Here is a 22,421-nt window from a genome sequence, read left to right on the forward strand (position 1 = left end):
TTATAATGTAGATTAACTAACAGTACTGTATCAAATTAAATTTCCTGATTTTGATAACTAACTGTGCTGTGCTGATGTAAGACAATGTCCTAGTTCTTAGGAAATATACAACAAAGTATTTAGGGATAAAAGGGCACAGTATCTCCAACATATTCCTAAACAATTCAAGAAAAGAAAATAGAGAAAATGATGAAGTAGATGGGACAAAAATGTAAACTGGTGAATCTGAGTAAAGAGTATATGGAAATTCCATGTATTATTCTTACAACTTTTCTGTGAATCTGAGTAAAGAGTATATGGAAATTCCATGTATTATACCTGCAACTTTTCTGTAAGTCTGAAGTTTCATATACATACACATAAAAACACGTAATATAAGGCCAGGCGGGGTGGCTCATGCCTGTAATCCCAGCGCTTTGGGAGGTCGAGGCGGGCGGATCACAAGGTCAAGAGATCGAGACCATCGTGGCCAACGTGGTGAAACCCCATCTCTACTAAAAATACAAAAATTATCTGGGCGTGGTGGCGTGCACCTGTAGTCCCAGCTACTCAGGAGGCTGAGGCAGGGGACTCACTTGAACCTGGAGGGTGGAGGTTGCAGTAAGCTGAGATTGCGCCACTGCACTCCAGCCTGGTGACAGAGTGAGACTCTGTCTCAAAACAAACAGAAAAACACACAATAAAAACCACATAATATAAATAAAGCTATGAAAATACTCTATTTTCATATATGATTAAAAATTTCCAGAATCAAAAGTTCCAAGATTTAAACTCAATACTAGAGTTTCCAGTCTATTATTTAATATACTACTTCTAAAAATAATTTGTATTTTAATTATTAGACATTTATCTAGAATTTTGGACAAGATATTCATGCTAAAAATCAAGAAAATAACTAGAAGATTTATGTTATTTCTTTTATGAAGCATTCCTTGACACCATAAGTAGGGTTGATTGTTCTTCCTCCATGCTCCCAAGGTATTTTGCACATAACATTGGTAGAGCACTTAACATATTGAATTGTAATCTGAAAATCAATTGCATTTCCACATAGTAGCAATGAATAATTAAAAACAGAAATTTTAAAAACTTACAACAGCAACAAAATTATGAAATGCTTACGGATAAATCTGACAAAATGGGGAAGAATTATACAATGAAAACCATAAAATACTAATATAAAATACTAGTGAGTAAAACTGACATGAATAAACAGAGACATACATCCTAGACATGTGTCAAAGACAAAACATTGTTAAGATGTCAATTCCGAGGTGGGCGGATCACCTGAGGTCGGGAGTTCGCGAGCAGCCTGACCAACATGGAGAAACCCCGTCTCTACTAAAAATACAAAATTAGCCAGGCATGGTGGCACATGCCTGTAATCCCAGCTACTAGGGAGGCTGAGGCAGGAGAATCGCTTGAACCTGGGAGGCAGAGGTTGCGGTAAGCTGAGATCACGCCATTGCACTCCATCCTGGGCAACAAGAGCGAAACTCCGTCTCAAAAAAAAAGTCAATTCTCCCCAAACAGATCTACAGATTCAAAGCATTCTCAAAATTCAGCAAGCTGTTTTGGTAAACATTGAAATACTGATTCTAAAACTTGGCAAAACGACGCTGAAGGAGAAAAAAGTTGAAGGACCCATACTACCTGATTTTAAGACTTATTATAAAGATATAGCAACCAAAACAGGAAGAAAGAAAACAACACATTAATAAGCTTACTTCAAAACTTAAAACTTCTGTGCTTCAAAAGTCACTGTGAAGAGAATGAAAAGACATGCTAGAAATATCTGATAAAGGATTTATATCCAAAATATATAAAGCTTTCAAAACTCAATTAAAACAAAAAACAATGAAAACTTAAACAAAAGATAGCTTCATGGGTGTAGTCATACGTCCAAACTTACATAATTGTATACTTTAAACAAATAGTTTATTTTATGTCAATTATACCTCAATAAATCTGTCTTAAGAAATGGAATCTGACTCCCTCACTAGACTCTCAGCTCCTCAAGGGCAGGGATTATAAATTATAGGCGGGGTGTGTTGGCTCATGCCGGTAAGCCCAGCACTTTGAGAGGCCGAGGCAGGAGGACTGCCTGAGCCCAGGAGTTTGAGACCAGCCTGGGCAACAGAATGAGACCTTGTCTCCACTGAAAATTAAAAAAAAAAGTTAGGTGGGTGCAGTGGTGTGAGCCTGCAGTTCCTGCTACTCAGGAGTTTGAGGTGGGAGGATCCCTTGAGCTCAGGAATTTGAGGTAACAGTGAGCTATGATTGTGCCACTGTACCCTAGCCTGGGTGACAGAGATCCTGTGTCTAAAAAAAGAAAAAATAAATAATATTTTTATCTACATTAGCATCTTGTAATGCAAGAATATAAAAGCAGTTGAGTAAGAACTTGCCGAATAAACATAATAATTAATGAGCCAAAGAAATTTAACTGATGATTAAAACAATGAGTCCAGAAATAATCCGAAGGCACTACATAACTGACGCATACTAAAAATTCACATCTACAATAAATGCATGGTATGGTAAAAAGAGCACTGCACTGAGATTAGGAAACGTGAGAAACTCAAAGTGGATCTTCACTAGCTAGGTGACCTTAGATAACCAAACCTCACTGGACATCATTCCATCATCTGAAATTCAGGGTTCTTAATAATTCTTATTTTGTTTACATCATAGAATTCCTTGGGAAACTAAATAAGACAAGTAAAAAATTCATTCAAACCCACAAAGCCATCAGTATTGGTGTCATTAGAAATAATTTTTTTAAGGGGGTAGAGAAACCACAGATGCGTGATTCTATTTACTCGAGGGTGAAAAGCAACCTGGTCTACTTGCCTGATAGGAACCAAGACAGCAAGGACTACTCCTTCTTTTGTTTTCTGCCTAGCGGTAGACAAGCCTCGTTTTTCCTGTTCATAAAAAGACAAACTGCCTATTCTGATCTGTTAACTCGGAAAACAAATACTTGTTCTGTCTTTTTAAAAGAAAGTGGCTGAAAAATATAAAATATCAATTATCATGTTTCTACTTCATGTTAATATAGTTTCAGTGTTCTTCTCTGAGAGGAACAAGGTTAGATTTACTTCCTTCCCTCCTTCATGGGAAATAAAAAATACACATACAAACACTTTTGTACTAAACAAGTTAAACCCTGGGTTTTCTAAGTAGACACCTTTTAACATGCCAACTGTCTCCTTCGAAAAAAGTGAATGCCCTTAACTTGTTTAAAATTTAAATTAATGAACTATGATGAAAATATAAAGGTAAACTGGTAACAGCTACTGAGACAGAAGACTGAATGACCATTGTGATAGCTCTCACTAGGGATGGGCCTTTAAGACTTCATAGTCAAAGACCTTCACTTAAGGAAAAAACTAGAAGGAATCCATTAAAATCTTATGAGGAGTTCATGACCTCTTCATGATTTTTTAGATTTAGTAGTAAGAAACATGGTTATTTTCCCTTATTAGGAATAAGAGTTTGTAACGATCATGGGAAAAAACATTCGGAGATTAAAAAAAATTCTACTTACCAATGGATTGTTCCCTTGGAAAGCAGGTTTATATAAACACCATTTTACCCAAATTTTATTAGCATCACTCAAACAGTAGTGATTATGCAGTAAATAGAAAACTCTTGCTTTTAATTCTAATGATTATTAAAAACTTAGAAAAGACAAGCATAAAAACGTTTAATTTCCAAACATTTTTGGAAAACTCCAACTGAATTTGGACCTTTCCCAATGAGCTGGTGTCTTGACAGGCACCTCTAGTACTTTAACTCTAGAAGATGTCACCAGTCCTATAAGCAATGGTGTCTACTTGTTATCATTTCTATCAGCTCTGCTGACATTTGGAAAAGATGTAAAGATTTGTGATGTCTGGGATAATCTGATTCACTAGAGGCAGGTTTTACGTTAAATACAGGAATACTCTGCCCAGTAGGTTTCATGTCTAGGCACCTGGTTTATGTGCTCACCAAACAGAAGCAGAAAAACAACTCTCAGAAAACTTAACACCCTTTAGTATTGAAACTATTTTCTGGATGTTGTACAGAAACAAGTAAGAGAAGACAAAAAAAAAAAAAAAAAGAAGAAATGGGAAGATTGGAATTTTAACTCTTTCCCTCTATCTATACTTACTGAAAGGTTTTTAACTCATGGCTGCCCCAGGCAGGATCACAACAAACAGAGGGATAACACTGTCTGTATAAAAGTATTTGCCTGTTTGCATGACCTGTTTCATATTCTTTTAAAATAATGATACCAACCAGATGTCCCACAATGATGATAAATTTAATTTATTTCCAATTTCTCAAACTCTTCTACAGATTCAGGCAGCACAGTCACAGCCATTAGCTCACTGAGCTGGATGCATCATTGAAGGAACGGAATTGATCAGGCAGATAGATTGTAGTGCATGGCTAAGAGTCTCCTAAGGAGGGAGATGGCAGAAATCCAGACATCAAATAGATGATGAAATGGCCATTTCCATTAAGGTAACATCACATCACAGATATTAATTAGGAGGCACTATAATAAAGTTAAGTGGATGTGGGGGAAAATGCTGAGTTAAAAGTCACCCCATATGTCCTTAGCCTGAGGTAATTACAGATCTGAAGGTGAGTCATGGATCTGCAATTTTCCATTCATTTTACAATAGCTGCAGGAACGTTTAGAGATTACGTAAAAGGAGATTAGAATCCTTTTTTAGACTGGGGACAAATTATCTTTAAAAAAAGAAAATATTCTTATGTTTTCCTTTTAACATTCCTGTTTTATTCCCAAGGAAAATGACATCCTTTATTTACATTAACATTAATGGAGGATGACAATGTACTGGCTACTTTCTTCTTCTTCTTTTTTTCTTTTTTTTGAGACGGAGTCTCACTCTGTCACTCAGGCTGGAGTGCAGTGGCACAATCCCGGCTCACTGTAACCTCTGCCTCCCACGTTCAAAAGATTCTCCCACCTCAGCCTCCTGAGTAGCTGGGACTACGGGCACACACCACCATGCCTGGCTAATTTTTTGTATTTTTAGTAGAGATGGGGTTTCACCGTGTTAGCCAGGATGGTCTCAATCTCCTGACCTTGTGATGCCCCCTGCCTCGGCCTCCCAAAGTGCTGGGATTACAGGGGTGAGCCACCTCGCCCAGCCCAGTTCTTACTACTTTCTAGAGAAATTAAGCAAATGAAACAAGTTAGCTTTAAGTTTAAATGCATTTTACCAAGTTTTTTATTTCAAGAATGTAAATTCATCTTAAAAACTGATGGGATATTTTGTTCTCAGTGTTCAATCCAAATCTACCTTAACAGCTAAAAAAAAAATTTTTTTTTTTTTTTTTTTGAGACAGTCTCGCTCTGTTGCCCAGGCTGGAGCACAGTGGTGTGATCTCGGCTCACTGCAAGCTCCGCCTCCTGGGTTCACGCCATTCTCCTGCCTCAGCCTCCCAAGTAGCTGGGACTACAGGCACCTGCCACCAGGCCCAGCTAATTTTTTTTTGTATGTTTAGTAGAGATGGGGTTTCACCACGTTAGCCAGGATGGTCTCAATCTCCTGACCTCATGATCCGCCCGCCTCAGCCTCCCAAAGTGCTGGGATTACAGGCGTGAGCCACTGCACCCAGCCGGAATAACAATCTTTTAAAGTATTATTTGATGTACGTAAATGATGAAGACAGCCATATTCCAAACCTGCAGAGCTTCCCTACAATAGTATGAGACCAATAGCCAAAGTGCTGGTTGCTCAACAATAGATTTATGCCAGTTTTTTTTGTTCTGTAATTCCTTGCAATCTTATCTCCCCTAGTACCTTGCCCAATTATATACTTCCCACGTGCATCCATGATAACTAACAAATGCAGACAGATGGCCAAAATGTGAGTTGAGGAAGTGTTGAGTACAAAAGGAGTTTATCTTTCCATTTCAGTATAATTTGGATCATAATCTCAGAATTCTGAATGCAGTACTCCAAGTCACTAACTTCAAATGGCTGACTGAGGCTCTGTCCAGGAAAAAAATTCCTTTGTGGAAGTTCCAATCTTAATTTCCTACATAAACTCAGACAATTTACAATTTTTTATTTTTTGCCTTACTTCACCAAAAAAGCAGAATCACAGGGATAAAAATTTACATAGGATGTCTAAATGATGTAGAATAACTCATTGAAAGCTCCTTTATCCATGGGTGCTTACAAAAGATAAAAAGATATCAGTAAAAAATGGTGCAGTAAAAACCTCTGAAAACTCTCTCCTCCATGAAAGCAATGTGAACACTGTGATGAGCACTGTGAGAATCAACTGAAAAGTAGCCAAAGGCTTGCAGCAATCCAGGGAGTGCTTATTCAAGAAAAACCAGCTGAATCTTGGTAAAAACAATAAACTTTGCAGTGTTTTATTTGCCTTATTCCCATCCCACTCTCCCAAGCTCCATCTCGGCCTTAAAAACTAACCTTCCTGAATCACAGTGAAAATCAGAAGCCATCAGAGGGGGCAAAAGAAAGCTGAAGCTCCTTCAAAGCCCAATTCTCAGAGAACTGTCATTATTTGACCTGTCTGGTGGTCCCCTGGAGGGCCCCGCTCAGAAGGCTGTCTTTACTTTACAGGACTTGGAGCTTGGCCAGTAGGAAAAGCGTAATTCTTTTGAGGGTTTGATGAAAACAATTACAGGGATTGTTTAACACTGAAACTTCTTGAGGTGGTGGCAAACAGCTGGGGCAAACAATAGGCTAACCAAAAGCTTCAAAGGAAAAGTTGAAGAATGAGAATGTCCACAAAGGGCTTTGAAAAGTTCTAATATATTAAAACAAGAAGGAATCTAGAGGGCTCATGCGTGCCCATGGCCATATGAATGCTCAGGAAAAACTAGAGAAAGCCCTCAGCTCTCTCCTCTGCCTGACCTTGACAGGAAGTGAAGGCTAAGGCAGAGGCATCAACTGCTTAGTGCAGTGTTGAAGGTAGGCTGCACCTGCACATACAGCCCTTCAACAAAGACTATTAGACTTCATTGAGACTTATTAGTTTCAGGCATCTAAGGAAATCTGTTCAAGCATTAGCTGACTACTAATCTAACAAGCAGGGACTTCACTGGCCACACACAGAAAGAACACAGACATCACAAAATTAGTTTAGAAAAGTCATTGAAAAAACAGCAAGAAGGATGAACTGTGATGAAAAGCGAAAATCTGATTTCCAGGGTCACATTACATTATTTTAAATGTCCAGTTTTAAATGAAAATTAGAAGACATGGAAAGAAATGAGAAAGTATGGCCCATACTCAAAAAAAAAAAGCAGTCAGTAGTAACTGCCCCTGAGGAGCCCAGATGTTGGACTTAGTAGACAAAGAATTTACATGAGCTATTTAAAATATACTGAAACAACTAAAGAAAACTATGTCTAAAAAACTAAAGTATAAGAATGATGCCTCTCAAATAGAGAATATTAATAAATAAAGGGATAGAAATTATAAAAAATAAACAGAAATTTGTAATTGAAAAGTACAATAACTGAAATAAAAAATTCACCAGTGAGATTAAAAGCAGTTTAGAGCAAGCAGAAAAAACAACCAGTGAACTTGAAGACAGGGCAATTGAGACTGAGCCTCAGGAACAAGAAGAATAAAGAATGAAGAAAAATAAACAGAGCTTCTGAGACCTGTGGAACATCAAGTGAATCAACAAACACGTAATTTGGGAGTCCCAGAAGATGAGGAAAGGGGAAGAACAAACATTTGAAGAAATAATGGCCCAACATTTACCAAATATAACAAACATTAGAGAGGTTCAAAAAACTTCAAGTAGGATAAAGTCAAAGAGATCTGCATGTAGACACACCATATTCAAACCATTGAAAGTCAAAGAGAATCTTAAAAGCAAAACATAAGAAAATATACTCTTCTGAAGGTTGTCTACAAATCTATCTGAGGCACAGTGTGGCTTCAAGATTAGACTTTGGAGTCGGTTTTGTCATGTATGTCTTTGGAGGTAATGCGGTTGGGTACACATTTTATATAACTCATGGGGAGGGTTTTTCTCCTATTATAATTTTTGGGAATAACAATAAACTAAATTCTACAACCCAGGTGAGTGTTTAGACCCCGAAACTCATCTCCAAGCAGTAACAGATTCTAAGTGGAAATAAAAAATCCACTTTTTCAGGAAAAAAAAATAGTACCAGCAACTCATGGTGCATTAACGGCACTTATGTGGGAATATTCTTTTACGTACTTGAATAAAAGACTCAACTTACATATGGTGCCTGATTAAGAGTTTCTTAAGAGATATGAGGTAATCATCATTTTTCTTGATAGCTTATTCAAAGAAAATACTGTTACATAGTGATCTCAGTCTGAAGAAACAAAAAAAAATTAAATCTCTATAACAGACCTAAAGCATACACGTGACTAAATTTCCCCCCTCCTCCTCCCATATTAGCGTAAAGAAATCAAGAAGGACAAGAAGAAACACCAAGATAATCAGACTTTTTTTTTTTTGAGATGGAGTCTTGCTCTGTCGCCCAGGCTGCAGTACAGTGGCGCGATCTCAGCTCACTGCAACCTCTGCCTCCCGGGTTCAAGTGATTATCCTGCCTCAGCCTCCTGAGTAGCTGGGATTACAGGCACCCACCACCGTGCCTGGCTAATTTTTGTATTTTTAGTAGAGACGGGGTTTCATCATGTTGGCCAGGCTGGTCTTGAACTCCTGACCTCAGGCCATCTGTCTGCCTTGGCCTCCCAAAGCGCTAGGATTACAGGCATGAACTATCGCGCCTGGCCATGATAACTGAACTTTTTCTTTTAGGATTCAAAATAGGGTAAACAAAAGGTTACTGATTTCTCTAAATACTGTTCCTGTGCTTCTTATATTTACACAATGTCTTCATACTAAAGTACAAGAAACCACTTGAAAATTATTTTTAATAGAAACAAATCACTCTCAAATGGAAGAATTACAACAGAATACATACTAGAGGCATATCACTATGTTCTTCTTAAGAGCATTATTATGTCATAAAATTTCAAACTGCCAAGCGTGGTGGCTCACGCCTGTAATCCCAGCAATTTGGGAGGCCGAGGCGGGCGGATCACCTGAGGTCAGGAGTTCGAGACCAGCCTGACCAATATGGAGAAACCCTGTCTCTACTAAAAATACAAAATTAGCCGGGTGTGGTGACGCATGCCTGTAATCCCAGCTACTCGGGAGGCTGAGGCAGGAGAATCGCTTGAACCTGGGAGGAGGAGGTTTCGGTGAGCCGAGATTGCACCATTGCACTCCAGCCTGGGCAACAACAGCAAACCTCTGTCTCAAAAAAAAAAAAAAAAAAAAAAAAATTCAAACTGTGGGGTAACTGAATAGTTTTTAATCCCTGTTCCTCAGATAAAGATGCCACGAAAGAAAGAAAAGGTAAAAATAAGATGTCTTACTTAAGATTAGGAAAATAAGGCTGTAATAATTTCAAAAACTAAGTATAAATTAATGGATAAAAATATTGGGACTGATGCCCATGGAAGATAAAAGCTATACTGGGTAGTCTCTAGTCTTCATGACAGATATTCACAGATGGGGAAGACTACCCCATTTTCCAGGCTTCCCAAAACTAACCTGTGATAATTAGACATTCATTGTGATCCAGCACCTCAGTGAAGAGCCGTGAAATAATCAACTCAGGATTGATTAAAAAGCGGATTTCTTCTTGCACAAGTCCTGCACTGGTTACACCACCTCCAACAAAACGATTTGCAAAATCCACCTGTTGGGGAAATGTGACATATTAAATAATGGTCAAAAATACCTACACATATGATCAAGAAGCACATAGTCTCTAAGCTCTCATCTTTTCCTCTCCCATGAAAATCAATCCCCAAATAAGTAATCTTCCCAGGAAGGGCAGATTTTGGTTGCTTAAGCTCTTTCCACCTCACTGCAGTTAACATCTCTGCACATTTTTCTGGATCCCAGAACCAGAGAAGCAATCTGGAAAATGGAGCTTTTAGGCAAAATATTATGTATCATACAGACTCTTGTTTATAAACCTATTTGTGTCTCATGGGCCACAAATCAAGGGAGGTCTTTATCTGGGAAGGTTTCAAAGTCATTCTCCCCCATTCACTACTCAACTTCCCTTTATGTATTTCACGTGACTTTAATATAATTAAACTTTTCTTATGTAATATGGTAACCAAACACTTGCCCTAAAGAACTGAAAAGTTTAGTAATCAACTTTTTGGGTAACCTTTTCCAACTTTATTGTAAGAATAAAGAGATCGAATTTTTGTCCTTCTAAATTCAACCCCAAACCCCAAACTACATGAACATTACAAACTACTTTTTAAAAATATAACTAAGGAAAAAAGGAAGAAAGAAAACCCAGTATAGCAACAAAGATTCAATTAAAGTAATATTTCCAATTAGGTTGGAAACTCTTAAGCTTTATGTGGAGTAGTATGATGGGATCCCCAAATGCCTACTAATAAAGAAGAATTACACAATCCTCCAGAGAAAGCAAACTCAACTTGCTGGCATTATTTCCGTTTGTCCAGTGTGTCCAGCACTATGCCAGCCTCATGAAGCAGTATGTAAGAAATAGCAACCATCTTTTCCTTAGTGAGACTATCTGAGGAGTTAGATCACACACACACACACACACACACACACACACACACACACAACTTGTGTATATACATAGTCATACACACAAGTAAAATAGGATTTACTAAATACCATGAGGCTTATATTCTTTCAAACTATTTTAAAATATACGATTTCTTAAAACTTCAGTGTTCTCTAAAGCAACTGATACTAAATGACAATCTGAAGCCTATTTTACAAAATAGTAAAACAATAGTATGAATCGTTTGATATGTAAAAATATATGTCAAAAGACAGAAATTAATAGAAGGCGAAGCAGTCTTCTTTTACCACAGGAGAACTTAGAAAATACTAAAACATACCACTGAGGAGTTCTTCAATTGAGCTACCAGAGAGAATCATATATTTGGATTTGTGTTCTGGAGTACTAAAACCAATGCTAAAAAACCAGAGTAACTCTTTAGCTTAAATAGGAAAATAATTTTGGTGAAACCAGTCTGTTGATTAGAATTAGCTACCTACTACATATGAGGTCTATGGGCACTGGGTGATTCATGGCTTAAACTGTCCAATTCAACAAATATTTACTGAGTATTGTGCTGGGAATCACTGGATACAAAGATGAATAAGGTATGTATGGTTCCTGGCCTCACGGCATTTGTAATTTAGATGGCAGTCAGAATGAGCATAAGCAGAATGAGAAGATGATTATTGAAGAGCTTGTTACTATGTATTTGATACTTTCTAATAATACAATTAACTAAAATTGGAGCATGGGAGGAAGATAGGAAAGCTTTACAAGGGGATGTGGCAGCTGACATGCAGGCTGAGGGCATAGCTGCACAAGGACACAGGGCAAAAAAAAAAAACAAATGTAAATCACTATATGAGGGGAATGGTAAACAGATTCATTGTGCTTGCCTGCAGTGTAGAGTAGGTGGAGGCTTACAGTTGGTGATGAGGTGGTCTGAGGTCTAGGGAATTTTTACTCAATTTCCCTCTGAAGGTTCTGGGAAAGATTCAAGTAACACCTGGACCTATGTTTTAGGAAGATAATTCAGGCTAGAGTTTAAAGAATAAATGGAAAACTGTAAAACTAAAAGTAAAAATGCTGGTTAGGTGAGTACTAAATAGTTTATACAGGCACTACTAGGGCCTCAAACAGGAAAGTGGTAAAGTAAAGGAAAGAGAAGAAACTCGGTAAAGAAATAAAATGGACTGTACTTGAGAACTAAGAGACTGGCTGAGTGCCTAAAAGTATAATGATATTGTGACTACAAATGAGAAACAGACGAGGTTTAAGATTGGCCTAACTTAATTTTTACTGGAATAAGGTACATAACAAAAATAAAAAGATAAGCTCTATCCAACTTATGTACTACTTGATAATGATGATGAAATACATTCAATGTGTATGTTATTGTTTACTCTTTGAATAAAAGGCCCACATTTTTAACTTGAAAGGTGTGCACAGAAATAAAGACACTAAACTCAGTATGCCTCTAAATGCCAAAGTCTTTTAGAAAACCAAAGTTTTACTACTTAAAAAAGTTCTTAACAATAAAGACCCTCTACAACAGTTGAGAAACCTGTTCCAGTACATGAAAACAAGAATGTGAATGCATCCTTATTTTTAGCCAGTTATTTTCCAAGTCACTTTAAAGCTACTCATTCAGATTACTCAGCTTCTGAATTATAACTTGATGAAAAGACAGGAATGATAAAGCTCCTCAGAGAGGTTTTGTTGTTGTTGCCATTCAGCATCATGTAATTTATATGCTACACAAGGAGCTCTGTAGCATTGCAATACAATATTCCCCGATCTCCTGCGGAGACATGGCATGGGTAGGGAGAACAATTAATAGCAAGAAGCCCTTACGGTATTCTCTAATCTACCGAGGTCTCACATTTCCATCTATAATATATTCCGAGGAAGTGGGGAGGATCTCAACCTTAACTGTTGTTAAATAATTCCTTGTTGAATTGTATTGTAATGAAAGGTCAGCATTCCTGTGGTGCTAACTAGCAGTAACTTTGTTTAGTTCATGTGTATTAAGAATCTCTCAGTTTATCCAAGACTTTAAAGATGGAAAGAACTTCATCAAGAGGGGAATGTGGGGGAAAAAGTGATACTAATTTGAACCAATATTTAAGCATATTTTAAGATTATTTTTTAAACAGAAAAAAGGTATAGGAGTAAATGCAAATTTAAATATGTTTTGTTTTTGTTTATAAGCTCAAATAACCACTGGGAGAAGGTGATTTAGAATAAAACATAGTTTGTCTCTTTGAAGATTTTAATTACAAATATGTCCAAATAAAAGGCCATTTAAAAAAGAATCTCAGTTTCATTTAAATAATAACTAGACGTAAATCTTATAGTGAGCATTAAGTTATTCAAACAAATCAGTCCATTTTCAGGCAACTGCTTTCTTTAGATTCTGAACCAATATAAGCACCAAATAAGAATCTAAGAAGAAAAATAAACTATTATCAGTATAAATGAGATGGTATACAAGCTTCTTTCAAAGAAAACTCAGTTTACAATGCTCTTATAAATGGGATAAGAACACAAAACACTAACATTAGTGAATGTTAAAGAAGCATTATAAATCAAAAGATTAGGTTAGATATTACTATATTTTAAACACGGGGCTTTTGTTAACCCCCTTCTCCAAAAATACTTTTTAAAGGTAAAGGCGGTAACAGATTATTAACAAAGATTGAGAAGTGGACCAGAATTACCTGCTTTTAACAGGGAAAAGACATAGCAAACAGCTAGCTCACGTGCGTGAAACTGTTACATATGAGAGAGAGGCCTTTCTTATCAATCAGTTTTAGATGTCTGCCCCCTCAACCTAAACAAAGCTGTTGGTGGCAGAAAAACATCTCCATCTGGTCATCAACTGGGGCAGAGCAAGAAGAGCCTTTAAGGAAAAAGAATAAAAATGCCTGGTGACAGTCTGTCAAGACTATACCCTGGGAACTTCCTCCACTGTCAACCTACTATCAATGTCTGAACCAAGAGGCTGATGCTGTCCAGATCTTGGGATTTTCTGTCAAAGGCTTTTTAGAGAAGCACATATAAGAAACAGAGAGTATACACTGGCAAATCACAACATTACCAAGGCTGTCAAAGTGATCTGTTTGGTGTTTTTCTTCATTCTGCTATCATGCTTCTTTGCATTAAATCAGTTTAGGAGACAAATAAACAGTTTTTCAAATTTCTTTTGCTGTCAGAAGCTTGACAAGAAAAAGTCCTAACCATACACAGACACTACTAAGATTCACCTACCTGTAGCATGCCTTGGCCATTTTCTTCTATGGTACCTTCGTAAGTGACATGCAATCGTGTCAAGGGTTTTTCACATCTACAATATAAAAAGACATTCCCTTATTTATTATTTTAATGACAAGTTGTTCACTGCGGACAAAAGTGAAAATATAGGTAACTATTCAAAAACCGAAACCACCCCAAATCTCGAAAGTCAGAAACAGATGCCTACTGTTAACATTCTTGGTATTGATCCTCCTTTATTCAAACATGTAAATATACATATTTAAATTAAAATTGGATAACATAGTTTGAAACCTGATTTTCCTCTAAATAATATGAAAGTTTTTCTTCTTTAAAACAGTTGAAAAACATTACAAAATATTAAAAAAATTAAGATCTATGAAATTTTGTTATGGCTAGAGTTGGCAATCTGAGGAAAAATGTAGAAAAAATTTGGCAATAAATCATATATGATTCTCTTCTGGCTTCCATTTTCTATTTTCACTGTTTCATAACCGTGTGTGTGTGTGTGTGTGTGTGTGTCTTGATGAAAATACCTGCGACAGAAATTCTGAACAATGGTATTTTTCTATTAATAAGGTTAACAGATAAACTTAGTACCTGTAATTTAGAAGGCATAATTATTTTCTTTCCCTTTCAACCATGGCCACTGAGGTATTGACTTATGTTATATTAACAACAAATTCCATTGTATCAAAAGTATTTGTTAACATTATTTGCCTTATTAGATATTTTTCCCCTGATCACTTACTGAATAAAAAATATAAATGAATGAAACAGAGGAGATCCAAAGTTCTAACTCACATAAGAGTGCCCATAATCTTTTTTGGGAGGGAGGAGATGATTATATTTTTAGAAAATAGTCTAGGAGGTTAGCTGGAAAAATACTGAGAATTGTTTGATTCCTTCCTGGTTTCAATGAGTTTAAATACATTTCTGGCAAAACTCCAGCCCAACAGGCTGATAGCTTTAACTCAGAAGGTAATTCTGCACAGGTTCTGTCTAAGAGCCTTATTTGTATTAACTCATTGAATCCTCTCAACAACCCTATTACTATCTCCTTTTATAGACGGGGAAACAAAGCACAGAACATCTAAGTAAGCTAACCAAGACTAGTGAAATAAAGCAGCAGAGATGTGAAACTAGGTAGACTCACTCAAGCTCTGAATCAGTATGCTACACTTTTAGAAAAATTACTTTCCCAGTCTCTTGTAGAAAACAGTATCGTAAGTTTGATATATTTTTTTAACTTCCTTTTTTTGGTCCTACTTTCCTAGCCATTTTATTCAGAGGAAGACCCCTGTAAGCATACTACTAAAAAGATAAAGAAGCATAATCTAAAAATCTCTGGGCTGTCAGTCAGGACTTCAGAATGGGAATTCCATCTGTTGTCAACTATTCTCCATGACTGAAGCTAGAAACTTTATAGTATAGCTCTTAATAAAATCACGAAATTGCTAGAAACCTTTTCTTGGTTTTGTTTTGAAGCATTTTCTAACTTCCCAGTAGGTCATCCTCTACACCCCCGCCCCAGGAGTCAGAGACGTAGATGATTCTGGCTCTCTGTGATTAAGCCTGGCTAAAGTATTTGCTGATAATCAAAGGGTTAACTATAACATGCCACAAACATGGAATTCAGGAAAGCCTCTAAGTTCCTGGACCCATTTAGCCCCTTACGCTTGGGAACACCAACAATCCTTATCTTTTCTTCATTCTCCCTCTTTAAGTGAATGCATGTTTCTGGTTCTGTGGAGTCTGGGAGACTGGTTTTAATTATATTCTCCAACTCACTTATAAAGCAACTAAAACAAAAAAGAGATCAATGAAATAAAAATAAGTCAAATTCTGCCTATCAAAATTAAGGGGACAATCTTCGTCTCACTTAGAGGCAAAGTTACTGTGTCTCATTGACACAGCAGCCTTGCCAGTCTCTGCATTTTGACCTGTCCCTTCTCTCCCACATGGTGGTATACAAATGGGTGTTCTTTCACATTAGTGCCAAATGAATATCAGATGCAAAGTAGAGATCCTGGATGACTTAAAAATAAGCCCTCAGATTGATCTATAAAATCTACACCAAAGTAACAGGAACAAAACATATGCATTCCTATTAGAGATTAATAGAAGAGTGAAGAAAAACAATCCTCTGCACCATAGAGATGACACAGCAGAATGGTACTTTTAATTCCAGGCACTATATTTTAAGAGGGCCCAATGAATGGGAGTATGTTAAGAGCAGAGATAAAGGGTTTAGAATCCATATTACATGTGAAATAGAAGAAACGAATCAGTTTAGTATGAACTTGTATGCACTGTTAGAGAGGGAAGTAGGTTAAGAAGCCATTAAGATACATGAAGGAGGGTCAAATGTTAAAGAAAACTAGAAATTCAGATTTATTTATGTAGCTCCAGAAGGAAGAACCAGGAATGGTGGAGAATGAATGTAGAAAACATTTTTAGTGAATGAAAGCATGAGATGATAACACAAGCAGCCACCAATGGAACAAACTGATACGAAACAGCGGATCTGCCATCACTGAAGCTATCCAGTCTTCTGTCTGTTGCAGGTATTACAGAGCTGATCAAGAGTTTTAGCAGGCGGCCGGGGTTCCTTTCAGATCTAACATGCCATGATGCCAAAATGCTGTACGTGTTCTCATCTTTTTCTGGCTCATTTTTTTTTCTCTCTTCAGGTCGCTTAACCTTTTATCTACTTCCCTCTATTAATAATCATCTAAACCACGCACTCAGTCTTCTGAAGTAAATTTCTTTATCTTTCACTTCACAAATAAACATCTTTGATGGATGAAAACACCGCAGGAAAGCCACCTAAGCAGATATGACTTCTCAAGTTAACGTTTTTTTAAGTGATTTCCATTCATCACTAATTCCAAACAAAACAATTACAAACTATCATAAAATTATTAGAAAGTGAAAATGGGAGGCATTGGTTAAATATGTATTTAGTATGCTTCATCATGTCCTCAAACATATTTAAAAAGTTAATCTACACTTCTTTAAGTGTCCTGGGGGACTTGCTTTAGATTAAGAAATATGTTAACTATTTCAGGACCCTTCTTTAAGTATATTGGGAGACTTGCTTTAGATTAAGAAATATGTTAACTATTTCAGGACACTAAGGACTTTACAAATCTGAATTAGCTCATATTGGCTGCTATCTCCTCAATATTTTCTGATAAATAAGAAACAAACAGTAAATAGCAACTTCCACAAAATCTACCAGTAGTACACAAGGGCAGCCAAACTTCAAAATTCTTGCCACTCGACGAACTCTAGATGGTTACTGTTTACTAAAATGTAAATAATAAAAAGACTTTTCTCAATCTTGTCCTCCAGAAAGAAAAGCCATAAAGTTCAAACACTAACCAAAAAAAAAAAAAGGGTAAGGAGAAACATTTAAATATTGGTGTTCCTTGTATTAGTGTCTTCACATACAACACTTCTCAATTTTAAACAGGACTTTGTTTCAGAAGACAAAACCAAGACAAAATGGTAGAAATCAAAGGGTTATAGACTTTGATTTAAAAGGCATAACCTTTTCAAACATGAGAGCTATCAATGGATCATTTATGAGAAGAAATTCCCTGGCACTAGGATAAATAGAGGTTGGAAAACCATCTTTCTAGGTGCTATAAAATAGAATCCTCTCATGGTGCAAGAGTCCTTCTATTTCTAGGGGGTCTAGGATTATTTTTATTATTGTTGTTACCTTTCCCATTCTGGAAAATCTTCAAGACTCTGTCTTGTAAATGTCACCAACCCAGTAGGTTCTACAGAAGCAATAAAAGAAAAACATACCCAAAATAAGTTTCAATTTTGAAAAGATTATACACACACACACACACACACACACACACACACACACACACACACTCGGTAAAAGAATAGGTCTAACATTGGCTATAAAACTAACCAGGAAATACAAAGCCTAGCATTGGAAAATAACAGAATATTGATTGAAAATAATATCCTTACAGTAGAAACTCCTTCTATAAAATAATAAGACTTCACTAAACGAAACTATACAAATAACAGCACAACAGTAGGATTTGAGTGCTGGTATTTTTGGTAAAGTTTTTGAAGCTGAATACACTTTTTTTTAAAAAAAAAAGCATTGAAAAAAAGGATGTATAACTGGTACAGCTAATGCAATAAAGACAAAATTGAATTCAAATTTGTAGACTCCTTTACAAAGAAAGGACTTAACCCTACATTCAAAGACTGGAGAATAAATACACATTTATGTACTATATGGTAAAGTGAAATGCCACAGATTTAAAAAGGAAATCATTTGCACATCCTCTGGAGTTAGTACAGCTAAGTCTCAGGCTTAAATAGTGGGCAATCACTCTACTTGTTAGTAGCAGTCGTAGCCAGAGGAGAAATTACTGGTTCTAAGAGTTTACAGAACAAAGATGACATATTTTTCAAGGAGCAATAAATCTGGGAGGATCTAAATGAAGTACTATTAATGTAGTCAATAATTTTAGAGGATGAGATCCTTTTCTAGTCAGATTTATTTATTTATTTTTTAAAGCTAGTAGCAAAAGAAACTAATAAATCAGCTGGCCAGAAGTAATTTGTCTGATTCAAATCAAAGAACAAACTAAAAAGGCCATGCCATTTCTGTTTTCTTGAATACAAAAAAGCTCTTAAGGAAAGAGAGAGATGTCAGGAACTATTAGTGATGACAGTGTATAACCCAGTGAAAGCCTGGCCATCATTTCATTCCTGTGCACAATTCCACATTTCCTTGTTCTCAGTCAAAAGCAGGAAACACTCAAAAACCATATGGAGCAGTTGCAGTAGAAAACAAATTTTTTTGTTAAGATGGGTCTTACGTCTTTTAGATACCTAACTTTAAGATAAATGGATAACATATTTAAAACTCACAAGTAAGTGGTCAAACAACTCAAACACTAGTGAAGCAATTCCATGAATATAATAGAAAACATCTCTCTTGTCATTCGGTAACTTAGCAGAGAAGAACATCAAATGTCCTTAATATATACTAAGAGATGCTAAAAGAAATTCATAAACACTGCTGGCAAAGCAAGAAAAGGCAGAAGAACATGGTTTCTTAGATTAACAAAAATGCCTTGAGAGCACGTCTGTTAGCATTTTTTCGTAACAAGGCAACTTTCATCTCAGAATAGGATACTTTGATTAATCAAATACTTCCCATCATAAAATCACAATATATACTATATACAGGTCATAAATTTTCAAAAACCTCATCTATAAGACACTTTATCTAAAACTATATAGAAAGTAATTTAATTCAGAAGGCTTTTTAAAATACTTCAGTCTCAAGATCTTCATCAGATATAAAATACACATGTTTAACAACACTGAAAAGTTGGTCCTGATGGAATTCTAGTTTATCAATTCTAAAAGGCATGTTTTTTCACGTTACATTTCCGAAACTGGAACACATCTTTTATAATGGAGGTATCTTACCATAGGTCTAGACTAGAGGTGAATTTTCCCAGAGAAGATGTGCATCTGCTTCTGCTGTCGTCTGGGAACACTATCAGCCTGATACCATCTGAATTAATCCTTTGTGGCAGGCCTTTGTGGACCACACTGGTGGTAAGGCTGCACACTCAAAGCTTAGGGCTTGTGGTTCAAATTCTCAGAGAAATGTTTTTTTCCTTTCTCTATTTAGTGTCAAGGTTGAGACTTGCACGTTTCTTTATGGTCCCTTTCCTGGAAGGTCAAGTTAATTTCTCATTTATCCTTAGGTGTACCAGCCTTGTGGGTCATGTCTCCTACTAAACTCCCTGTCCTGAGTGTTTTTTCCTTCTTAGAGGTATATAATATAAGAGCATTTTTAAAAAGTCATCTATGACATCTCAGATTCGATGAAATACGGTACCTTAAATAAGCTTCTGAAGTCTATTGAGTAGGCTCCAGAACTTCTACACAACCACTCATTATACTGCAACCTCTTTTATTCTCTTTAGTATTTCCTCTTCAAACCATTAGCTTTACACACTGAAGACCAAGAGCAATGTTGTACTGTATTTCTACAAAGAACTTAATTAACATGTACAGTGAAAAAGTCAGAAAATAAAATGTCTAGTTATAATTTATTTCTTCAAATTCCCAATACTTATAATGGCATATACATTTCCAGCTGAAAAAACAAACTTTAAGCTTTTTCCTCAAAGTATCTGAAATCCTAAAATTTAGAAAGCCAAGTTAGTTTTTAGAGAAGACATACATGATTTGACTCCCAGGACAAAAAAGTAAACTCTGTACTACTTCGTTATAATAATTCTACTTAAAATGGCAACTCAAAGTACTGTAAAAACAAAACAAAAAAAACCAATAGTAATAATTCTAATTAGACCTAGAATAGCCAAAAAAAGCAGTCATTTATTTATTTTTTTAGACAGAGTCTTGCTCTGTCGCCCAGGCTAGAGTGCAGTGGCACAATCTCAGCTCACTGCAACCTCCACCTCCTGGGTTCAAGTGATTCTTGTGCCTCAACCTCCCGAGTAGCTGGCATTACACTCTCCCGCCACCGCGCCTGGCTAATTTTTGTATTTTTTAGTAGAAATGGGGTTTCACCATCTTGGCCACGCTGGTCTGGAACTCCTGACCTCGTGATCCACCCACCTTGGCCTCCCAAAGTGCTGGGATTACAGGCGTGAGCCACCGTGCCTGGCCTTACGTAGTCATCTTTTTAACAAGTCATTACAAATTCTAATTTGATTTTGTGTCTCATAGGTCCAAATGATTCTGCATTGTAATATTTCATTCAGTACAGGGCACAAAACTGAAATTCGATAAGCTATGAGATAATTCCATATCAGAGAAGCATGTAATTTTCCCTTAAATATCAAAATCCTGATAATTGATTTCATTCTAAAAATTTAACAATGTCCAATAGCAATACATTCAAGGGGGAAGATGCCAAGTACACTGTAATGCAAGAGTAAAAGAAGGATATGAGAAAAATGACCTTAAAATGATTCAAAGACATATTTTAAGACAATCCTATGACCCAGAACTGAAAAAAAGCCATTTCACTTGACCAGGTTGACCTTACCTACTTAGCACAAAGAAACTTTTGAGGTGTTCTGGTTTACATCCACTTGTAGGAAAGGCTACCCATTGATAATAGCTTACATTTATTAAGCATGTATCTTCTTGTTTAATATCTATAACTACCCTGTAAGGTAATGGCCGTTATTATATTATTTCATAGGTGATAAAACTGAAGCTTAGAGGTGTCAAGAAACTTGACCATGGTCATTCAGCTTCTGAGATAAGAGTGGCAATACCAATCTATTATCAGCTGGTCATTACCAGTATTTGTTGGACATTTACTATTACTGTCTTAGCTGCTATCAGTTTTTGGGGAAGCAAGAATGTTAAGGTTCAATAGAGGAAGATGGAGATATAAAACTCAGTACAAAACAGTTTTATAAGAACTCCACAAAGGGCTTAGGGGGGCACAAAAGAGAGGAATGGGTAGAAAAGCAATGCGTTAGTTGACTTATGCAAATAAACTAGTGAATACTTCTTTAAATAAAGAGCATCCAAAATTTATTTCCTGGTCAATATACTTTCTCTGGTTTTTATTCATGAAAATCTTTTGATGTATATTACAGATTTCAGAGAATATGGGTCCGATTTCAGAGTATGTAAACCCCGCCCCCCTACATTTAGCACACGTTTATGCTTATACACAACATAAGCATAAAACTAGGTTATATTGTCGCATCATTACTAGTGTTTCAATGTGGTTGGGACAGGAAGGTTTACGTTAAACACAAAATGTTCCTCACATGTCACTTGACTTGAACTGTTCCCATCAGCAAGAAAAATTACAGTAAGAATGAAAGGAATTTACTTTTCTCTGTGACTCTTCTAAAGTAGCAGAAGAGCGTTTTAAGTTTCTCCGGTTTCCTTGATGAACGTCCCTCAAACAATCTAAGAGATAAAAAATAAAAGAGAATGGAAGATAAGTTAAAATGCCTTAATGATTCACAAAACTACATCCATATTGCTACCAAGTAATACAAAGAAATAATTCTTCCAGAAGACAATTCTGTAATGATAAGAACTGGAAAATTGGTTTAGATTCAAATGGCATCTGGAAAGAACTGAAACCAACTAGAACCAGACTTCTTCAAAGCTGCTCAAATCAGACATCATTTACTACCAACCACATTTCTCCAACCTATCTTCCACCACAGAGAAGGCACCATCCAGCCCTCCCAGTCAACTGGGGTCAGTCAGTCAGTGCACAGCTACTTTCTCAATGGCTAAAAACATTTATAATTCATAATGTTACTACGTAGTTTGATAAGTAACAAAAACGGTATCAAAAAAAATCCTTATCTGAGTGTTTGTGAGGAAATGAGAGTGGAGGGGAATGGGGGCAGGGACACAGGCAGGTATAACAAGATATCAGGGCTCAACAATCCTTGTTAATTAAACAACTAGATTCTTTTATGGACTGAATGTTTGTGACCTCTCAAAATTT

The 22,421-nt window shown here is 36.4% G+C and overlaps 1 protein-coding gene across 15 annotated transcripts in view; it reads right to left on the bottom strand.

Annotated features, from left to right (window-relative positions):
- Nucleotides 1-22,421, bottom strand: part of PARG (poly(ADP-ribose) glycohydrolase) — a 123,749-nt gene that overhangs the window by 29,412 nt on the left and 71,916 nt on the right. For 13 of the 15 annotated variants that reach the window (NR_130169.3, NR_136752.3, NR_136754.3 and 10 more), the window contains 4 exons: nucleotides 21,786-21,865; nucleotides 17,631-17,691; nucleotides 13,898-13,973; nucleotides 9,616-9,763 (listed from right to left, as the gene is read on the bottom strand). Coding sequence is in view for 7 of the 15 variants with exons in the window: in NM_001303486.3 (NP_001290415.1) it covers nucleotides 9,616-9,763; nucleotides 13,898-13,973; nucleotides 17,631-17,691; nucleotides 21,786-21,865 (365 nt within the window). In the remaining 8 variants the exon portion in view is untranslated. Of the gene's footprint in view, nucleotides 1-9,615; nucleotides 9,764-13,897; nucleotides 13,974-17,630; nucleotides 17,692-21,720; nucleotides 21,866-22,421 lie in introns of those variants that run through there. The other 2 variants (XM_047425921.1, XR_007062014.1) reach the window with 2 other exon arrangements.

The sequence above is a fragment of the Homo sapiens genome, chromosome 10, assembly GCF_000001405.40.
Source record: "Homo sapiens chromosome 10, GRCh38.p14 Primary Assembly".
NCBI lineage: Eukaryota > Metazoa > Chordata > Mammalia > Primates > Hominidae > Homo > Homo sapiens.